We start from the raw sequence: 10,141 nt of genomic DNA on the forward strand, positions 1-10,141 counted from the left end.
ATGATTACCTGGCCTGAGACATATGCCTTCCAATTAGTGAGGATGGAGCCAATGTGCTATGATTGGTACTATCAGAACAACATGTGAGGAAAAGGAAGGACAATTTTCCAAAGAGAAGGTTGGGTAAGAGGGTGTAATTACCTGAAGAAGAAGGAAAGGATGTTCAGCAGACCAAAATAGTACATGCCAATTATACAAACTAAATGTCTAACTGCAGAAATGGTGCCAACTCTTAATGGAATATTACCTGGCCATTGAAAGTGTGTTTATGCACATTTCTGTAATAACAAGTATAAATGTTTATAATGATGTTAATATTATAGTATCATTATAAAAGTATATACAAAGTTGTTTTCAAGTTTTCTTTAATAAAGATAATACTTTAAAAATTTTTTGAAACATTAAATTTATGTAGATGAGGCAACCTTGTGCTAGCTATTATAAGAAGCAAACATGGTATTTATGCTGGTATAACAATAAATGACAGAAGAGGAGCCAAGATGGCTGAATAGGAACAGCTCCAGTCTACAGCTCCTAGCATAAGCGACACAGAAGACGGATGATTTCTGCATTTCCACCTGAGGTACCAGGTTCATCTGACTGGGGAGTGCCAGACAGTGGGGGCAGGACAGGGGGTGCAGCGCACCGTGTGCAAGCCGAAGCAGGGTGAGGCATCACCTCACCCGGGAAGTGCAAGGGGTCAGGGAATTCCCTTTCCTAGTCAAAGAAAGAGGTGACAGACGGCACCTGGAAAATCGGGTCACTCCCACCCTAATACTGCACTTTTCCAACAGGTTTAAAAAACGGCACATCAGGAGATTATATCCTGCACCTGACTCGGAGGGTCCTACGCCCACAGAGTCTCGCTCATTGTTGGCACAGAAGTCCCAAATCAAACTGCAAGGTGGCAGCGAGGCTGGGGGAGGGGCGCCCACCATTGCCAAGTTAGTTGTTTGATTAGGTAAACAAAGTGGCTGGGAAGCTTGAACTGGGTGAAGCCCACCACAGCTCAAGGAGGCCTGCCTGCCTCTGTAGGCTCCACCTCTGGGGGCAGGGCACAGACAAACAAAAAGACAGCAGTAACCTCTGCAGACTTAAATGTCCCTGTCTGACAGCTTTGAAGAGAGTAGTGGTTCTCCCAGCATGCAGCTTGAGATCTGAGAACGGGCAGACTGCCTCCTCAAGTGGTTCCCTGACCCCCGAGTAGCCTAACTGGGAGACAGACAACCCCCAGTAGGGGCAGACTGACACCTCACACAGCCGGGTACTCCTCTGAGACAAAACTTCCAGAGGAACAATCAGGCAGCAGCATTTGCAGTTCACCAATATCCGCTGTTCTGCAGCCACTGCTGCTGATACCCAGGCAAACAGGGTCTGGAGTGGACCTCTAGCAAACTCCAACAGACCTGCAGCTGAGGGTCCTGTCTGTTAGAAGGAAAACTAACAAACAGAAAGGACATCCACACCAAAAACCCATCTGTACGTCACCATCGTCAAAGACCAAAGGTACATAAAACCACAAAGATGGGGAAAAAACAGAGCAGAAAAACTGGAAACTCTAAAAATCAGAGCACCTCTCCTCCTCCAAAGGAACGCAGCTCCTCACCAGCAATGGAACAAAGCTGGACAGAGAATGACTTTGATGAGTTGAGAGAAGAAGGCTTCAGATGATCAAACTACTCCGAGCTACAGGAGGAAATTCGAACCAATGGCAAAGAAGGTAAAAGCTTTGAAAAAAAATTAGACGAATGGACAACTAGAATAACCAACGCAGAGAAGTCCTTAAAGGACCTCATGGAGCTGAAAACCAAGGCACGAGAGCTATGTGACGAATGCAGAAGCCTCAGTAGCCAATGCGATCAACTGGAAGAAAGGGTATCAGTGATGGAAAACGAAATGAATGAAATGAAGTGAAGAGAGAAGTTTAGAGAAAAAAAGAATAAAAAGAAACAAACAAAGCCTCCAAGAAATATGGGACTACGTGAAAAGACCAAATCTACATCTGTTTGGTGTATCTGAAAGTGACGGGGAGAATGGAACCAACTTGGAAAACACTCTGCAGGATATTATCCAGGAGAACTTCCCCAATCTAGCAAGGCAGGCCAACATTCACATTCAGGAAATACAGAGAATTCCACAAAGATACTCCTTGAAAAGAGCAACTCCAAGACACATATTTGTCAGATTCACCAAAGTTGAAATGAAGGAAAAAATGTTAAGGGCAGCCAGAGAGAAAGGTCGGGTTACCCACAAAGGGAAGCCCATCAGACTAACAGCAGATCTCTCAGCAGAAACTCTACAAGCCAGAAGAAAGTGGGGACCAATGTTCAACATTCTTAAAGAAAAGAATTTTCAACCCAGAATTTCATATCCAGCCAAACTAAGCTTCATAAGTGAAGGAGAAATAAAATCCTTTACAGACAAGCAAATGCTGAGAGATTTTGTCATCACCAGGCCTGCCCTAAAAGAGTTCCTGAAGGAAGCACTAAACATGGAAAGGAACAACCGGTACCAGCCACTGCAAAAACATGCCAAATTGTAAAGACCATCAAGGCTAGGAAGAAACTGCATCAACTAACGAGCAAAATCACCAGCTAACATCATAATGACAGGATCAAATTCACACATAACACTATTAACTTTAAATGTAAATGGGCTAAATGCTCCAATTAAAAGACACAGACTGACAAATTGGATAAAGAGTCAAGACCCACCAGTGTGCTGCACTCAGGAAACCCATCTCACACGCAGAGACACACATAGGCTCAAAATAAAGGGATAGAGGAAGATCTACCAAGCAAATGGAAAACAAAAAAAGGCAGGGGTTGCAATCTTAGTCTCTGATAAAACAGACTTTAAACCAACAAAGACCAAAAGAGACAAAGAAGGCCATTACATAATGGTAAAGGGATCAATTCAACAAGAAGAGCTAACTATCTTAAATATATATGCACCCAATACAGGAGCACCCAGATTCATAAACCAAGTCCTTAGAGACCTACAAAGAGACTTAGACTCCCACACAATAATGATGGGAGACTTTAACAACCCACTGTCAACATTAGACAGATCAACGAGACAGAAAGTTAACAAGGATATCCAGGACTTGGACTCAGCTCTGCACCAAGCAGACCTAATAGACATCTACAGAACTCTCCACCCCAAATCAACAGAATATACATTCTTTTCAGCAACACACCACACCTACTCCAAAATTGACCACATAATTGGAAGTAAAGCACTCCTCAGCAAATGTAAAAGAACAGAAATTATAACAAACTGTCTCTCAGACCACAGTGCAATCAAACTAGAACTCAGGATTAAGAAACTCACTCAAAACCGCTCAACTACATGGAAACTGAACAACCTGCTCCTAAATGACTACTGGGTAAATAATGAAATGAAGGCAGAAATAAAGATGTTCTTTGAAACCAACGAGAACAAAGACACAACATACCAGAATCTCTGGGACACATTCAAAGCAGTGTGTAGAGGGAAATTTATAGCACTAAATGCCCACAAGAGAAAGCAGGAAAGATCTAAAATTGACACCCTAACATCACAATTAAAAGAACTAGAAAAGCAAGAGCAAACAAATTCAAAAGCTAGCGGAAGGCAAGAAATAACTAAGATCAGAACAGAACTGAAGGATATAGAGACACGAAAAACCCTTCAAAAAATTAATGAATCCAGGACCTGGTTTTTTGAAAAGGTCAACAAAATTGATCAACAAAATTAACACCCCACTGTCAACATTAGACAGATCAACGAGACAGAAAGTTAACAAGGATATCCAGGAATTGAACTCAGCTCTGCACCAAGCAGACTAATAAAGAAGAAAATTAGCAAGACTAATAAAGAAGAAAAGAGAGAAGAATCAAATAGATGCAATAAAAAGTGACAAAAGGGATATCAACACCGATCCCACAGAAATACAAACTACCATCAGAGAATACTATAAACACCTCTATGCAAATATAACTAGAAAATCTAGAAGAAATGGATAAATTCCTTGACACATACATCCTCCCAAGACTAAACCAGGAAGAAGCTGAATCTCTGAATAGACCAATACCAGGCTCTGAAATTGAGGCAATAATCAATAGCTTGCCAACTAAAAAAAGTCCAGGACCAGATGGATTCACAGCCAAATTCTACCAGAGGTACAAAGAGGAGCTGGTACCATTCTTTCTGAAACTATTCCAATCAATAGAAAAAGAGGGAATCCTCCCTAACTCATTTTATGAGGCCAGCATCATCCTGATACCAAAGCCTGGCAGAGACGCAACAAAAAAAGAGAATTTTAGACCAATATCCTTGATGAACATTGATGCAAAAATCCTCAATAAAGTACTGGCAAACTGAATCCAGCAGCACATCAAAAAGCTTATCCACCATGATCAAGTGGGCTTCATCCCTGGGATGCAAGGCTGGTTCAACATACACAAATCAATAAATGTAATCCAGCATATAAACAGAATCAAAGACAAAAACCACATGATTATCTCAATACATGCAGAAAAGGCCTTTGACAAAATTCAACAACCCTTCATGCTAAAAACTCTCAATAAATTAGGTATTGATGGGATGTATCTCAAAATAATAAGAGCTATGTGTAACAAACCCACAGCCAATATCATACTGAATGGGCAAAAACTGGAAGCATTCCCTTTGAAAACTGGCACAAGACAGGGATGCCCTCTCTCACCACCCCTATTCAACCTAGTGTTGGAAGTTCTGGCCAAGGCAATCAGGCAGGAGAAGGAAATAAAGGGTATTCAATTAGGAAAAGAGGAAGTCAAATTTTCCCTGTTTGCAGATGACATGATTGTATATTTAGAAAACCCCATCGTCTCAGCCCAAAATCTTCTCAAGCTGATAAGCAACTTCAGCAAAGTCTCAGGATACAAAATCAATATACAAAAATCACAAGCATTCTTATACACCAATAACAGACAAACAGAGAGCCAAATCATGAGTGAACTCCCATTCACAATTGCTTCAAAGAGAATAAAATACCTAGGAATCCAACTTACAAGGGATGTGAAGGACCTCTTCAAGGAGAACTACAAACCACTGCTCAATGAAATAAAAGAGGATACAAACAAATGGAAGAACATTCCAGGCTCATGGGTAGGAAGAATCAATATCGTGAAAATGGCCATACTGCCCAAGGTAAGTTATAGACTCATTGCCATCCCCATCAAGCTACCAATGACTTTCCTCACAGAATTGGAAAAAACTACTTTAAAGTTCAAATGGAACCAGAAAAGAGCCCGCATTGCCAAGTCAATCCTAAGCCAAAAGAACAAAGCTAGAGGCATCATGCTACGTGACTTCAAACTATACTACAGGGCTGCAGTAACCAAAACAGCATGGTACTGGTACCAAAAAAGAGATATAGACCAAGGGAACACAACAGAGCCCTCAGAAATAATGCCACATATCTACAACTATCTGATCTTTGACAAACCTGACAAAAACAAGCAATGGGGAAAGGATTCCCTATTTAATAAATGATGCTGGGAAAACTGGCTAGCCATATGTAGAAAGCTGAAACTGGATCCCTTCCTTACACCTTATACAAAAATTAATTCAAGATGAATTAAAGACTTACATGTTAGACCTAAAACCATAAAAACCCTAGAAGAAAACCTAGGCAATACCATTCGGGACATAGACATGGGCAAGGATTTCATGTCTAAAACACCAAAAGCAATGGCAACAAAAGCCAAAATTGACAAATGGGATCTAATTAAACTAAAGATCTTCTGCACAGCAAAAGAAACTACCATCAGAGTGAACAGGCAACTTACAGAATGGGAGAAAATTTTTGCAACCTACTAATCTGAGAAAGGGCTAATATCCAGAATCTACAATGAACTCAAACAAATTTACATGAAAAAAACAAACAACCCCATCAAAAAGTGGGCAAAGGATATGAACAGACACTTCTCAAAAGAAGACATTTATGCAGCCAAAAGACACATGAAAAAATTCTCATCATCACTGGTCGTCAGAGAAATGCAAATCAAAACCACAATGAGATACCACCTCACACCAGTTAGAATGGCGATCATTAAAAAGTCAGGAAAGAACAGGTGCTGGAGAGGATGTGGAGAAATAGGAACGCTTTTACACTGTTGGTGGGACTGTAAACTAGTTCAACCATTGTGGAAGTCAGTGTGGCGATTCCTCAGGGATGTAGAACTAGAAATACCATTTGACCCAGCCATCCCATTACTGGGTATATACCCAAAGGACTATAAATCATGCTGCTATAAAGACACATGCACACGTATGTTTATAGTGGCACTATTCACAATAGCAAAGACTTGGAACCAACCTAAATGTCCAACAACGATAGACTGGATTAAGAAAATGTGGCACATATACACCATGGAATACTATGCAGCCATAAAAAATGATGAGTTCATGTCCTTTGTAGGGACATGGATGAAGCTGGAAACCATCATTCTCAGCAAACTATCACAAGGACAAAAAACCAAACACCGCATGTTCTCACTCATAGGTGGGAATTGAACAATGAGAACACATGGACACAGGAAGGGGAACATCACACTCTGGGGACTGTTGTGTGGTGGGGTGAGTGGGGAGGGATAGCATTAGGAGATATACCTAATGCTAAATGGCAAGTTAATGGCTGCAGTACACCAACATGGCACATGTATACATATGTAACAAACCTGCACGTTGTGCACATGTACCCTAAAACTTAAAGTATAATAATAAAATAAAATAAACAACAAATTACTTATTTATAACAAAAAATTCATATAAAACTTTATGCAAAGTTAAACTTGCAAGACACTTGGCATATGAAAAGATATTTAAGGAGGTGAAGAAATGTCAAGAGCAAGAGTTTTGACTGGCACAAAAGGTTTAACCATGACAGGAGACTTTCTGAAAGATGGTGGATTAAAAATAGGTCCAAACTCTTTCTCCTGGCTACTGTAACAGAAAAACAATAGCGTTGTCTGATAAAAAGAAAATCAATAACCCCCAGTGTAAACTTAGAAAATAATGAGCAAATCTAAGTAAATGAAGTGACCCCAATTCAGCTAAGCAATTCTGCAACACCAGCTGAAAAGCTAAGAGAGAGGCAGGACCAACTCCTGAAGGAGGCTTGAATGAGTTGATAAATTTAAATGAAATAAACAATGGTTGCTAAAAACAAAACAAGTTATGAAACCAAAGGACCGCACACAATGTGGAAATGCTATAAAGAGTAAAGAAGGGTCACAAGAGGCTGGTAAGGGCAAAAATCAAGTATAGAAATGCAGATACTCACCAAAGTTTAAATATCTTAGGAAGAGAAGTGGAAAACCATGTATATAGAGGAAATTTATAAATAAAAGTGAACAGCAAATTTTCCCTGAATTTAGAAAGAACAGTTATTCATGTAGCCAAGCTAGATGAATAGGGACATTGGGGCAGTAGATCAGCAAGGAATGGGAGGCTTTCTGCTTTTATTAGCTGCCTAAAAAATTACCATAAACTAAGGGGTTTAAAACAGCAGAAATTTATTCTCTTACAGTTCTGGAGGCCAGAAGTCTAAAATCAAGGTGTCAGCAGAGCATGCCCTTTCTGAAGCCTCCAGGGAAGAAGACTTTGTTTCCTCTTCTAGCTTCTGATGGTAGCCAGCAAAACTTAGTGTTCCCTGTTTTTTGGCAGCATAATTCCAATCTCTTCCTCCATCTTCACATGGTCATCTATCTTCTGTTTGTGTCCAAATTCCCCTTTTCTTATAAAGACAACACTCACTGACTAGGTTAGGGTCCACCCTAATTCAGTATGATCTCTTCTTAATTTGATTACATCGGTAAAGACTTATTTCCAAACAAAGTCACATTCACTGGTTTTGGGTGGACAGTAATTTTGGGGAAACACTATTCAATCCAGTGCACCGCTGTTGAGCCATTTTGGAAGAAACTGAATGAATTCTACTAATATGGGCCAGCACCAAGGGTACTACTCCATGCCTTGTGGTGGAGGAAGGCATGAGCAACAGGCACAACCCCTAAATCTCCATACCCTGTGAGCCCCCACTGACATCCCCCTGCGTCCACCTGGAGGGCTATAGTGGTATAGCACTGATTAGACCCAAAGGTGCTATGGGGTCCCCAATACTCTAGTCCACAGGGAATACTGCTTCCCAGGGAAAGGACAGTGCAGCACACCAAAAAGGCAGCCCCTGGGAAAAAGGAATACAAAGTGCATGTTTTCCAGAGCCTGAGAGCTCCCTGTATGGGGCTGTGAGAATTGACCCCAACTCCAGAAGTGGCACGAACTCTATGATCCACCTCACAAGCAGAGTGTGATCCCCTCCCACTGGCAGAACAGCCACTGTGCTCAGTCTCATGCACATAGAGTGGAACCCCTTCTCCTCCTGGACACACTGCTATGGGCACAGTCTCTGCTACCGCTGCTGGGGGCTAGAGCAGGTGAACCAGAAGGCTGCCTGTCTGGGGCTGTGAGTGGTCACTGTGCTCCCACTGGCAATGTGGCCTTCATGCCTGGACTCATGTGCAAAGGGTAGGGTCACTCCCCACCTCTGCATGGAGCAGTAGTGAGCAGGAGAACCAGAGAGTCTTGTGTCTGGGGCTGTGGGTGGCAACCCTGCACCACAGCCACTGCCAACATCAGTGTGCAGTTCTCAGAATACAGAGGGCTTTCCAGCCTCTTCTATTGCCATTGCCCACATGACTCTGGCTTCCCAGGGACCCAGGAACTTGCTCATCCAGCTGGCCCACCACTGCTAATACCGCATCTGAGCAAGCTTCCTGGAGGTCCAAAAATTCACCCATCTGATTCCACTAACACTGGAGGCAGTGTATGCTGCCCTGGGGCCCAAGATTAGGCATGCTTAGACCACTGCTACCACCACAGAAGTCTGAAGACTGACCCACCAGGCATCTCTATCACCATAAAAGCTCAATAAAGCCTCCACTAATAACTGCATCCAAAGACACCAAGGAAGTCCGATGCCAATGGTGCTGTTTACCACCAAATAAATCATACAAGACTACACTACTGTACACATCCAGAATCAAAGCAAAAGGTCCTACCCAACCAATATCATTGATATATCTTCAGGAAAAAGCCCTCCCCTATGAAAGCAGCAAATCCAAAAAAAAAAAAAAAAAAAAAAAAAAAAAAGACAGGAAAAAGTGACTGTTACACCAGATGCACAGATATCAATGTAAGGAAAACAAGAAGCATGAAAAAGCAAAGAAATATGACACCCCTAAAGGAACACAATTCCACAGCAAGAGATCCCATTAAAAAATAAATTCATGAAACCCTGGAAAAAGAATTCAAAATTATAATACCTAAGAAGCTCAGTGAGGTACAACAGAATTTCAAAAAACAATACAATGAAATCGGAAAAAGAACTCAGGATATGAATGAGAAATACACCAAACAGAGATATATATTAAAAAAGAATCAAAAAGAAATTTTGGAACTGAAAAATTCTTTAAATGAAACACAAAAAGCACTAGAAAACTTCAACAATAGACTAGACCAAGCAGAAGAATTTCAAAACTTGAAGACAGGTCTTTTGAAATAACCACTCAGACAAAATAAAGAAAAAATAATAAAAAAGGATGAGTGAAGACTTATGAGATATGGGACACTATAAAGTGACCAAATATATACATTATTGGTAGCCCCAAAGGTGAGGAATGAAAGAATTTGAAAACTTATTTAATGAAATAATAGATGAAAACTTCCCAAGTCTAGTAAAAGATTCAGACATCCAAATATAGGGGACCCAGCAATCCCCAATTAGATACAATGCAAAAAGGTCTTCTCTATGGCACATTATAGTCAAACTGTCTAAATTCAATGACAAGGAGAAAATTCTAAAATCATCAATAGGAAAGAATCTAGGTACCTGTAAAGGAGCCCCCATCAGACTAACAGTGAACTTCTCAGCAGAAGTCTTGTAGGCCGGGAGAGAATGACAAAATATATTCAAAGTGCTGAAAGAAAAAAAAACCCTGCCACCCAAAGATATTATATACAACACAAGTATCCTTCATAAATGATATACCTGCCTTACAAGAAGTGCTCAATGGAGTCCTAAACCTGTAAGTGAAAAGACTACAGTTACCAT

Source organism: Homo sapiens, chromosome 3, assembly GCF_000001405.40.
Source record: "Homo sapiens chromosome 3, GRCh38.p14 Primary Assembly".
Lineage (NCBI taxonomy): Eukaryota > Metazoa > Chordata > Mammalia > Primates > Hominidae > Homo > Homo sapiens.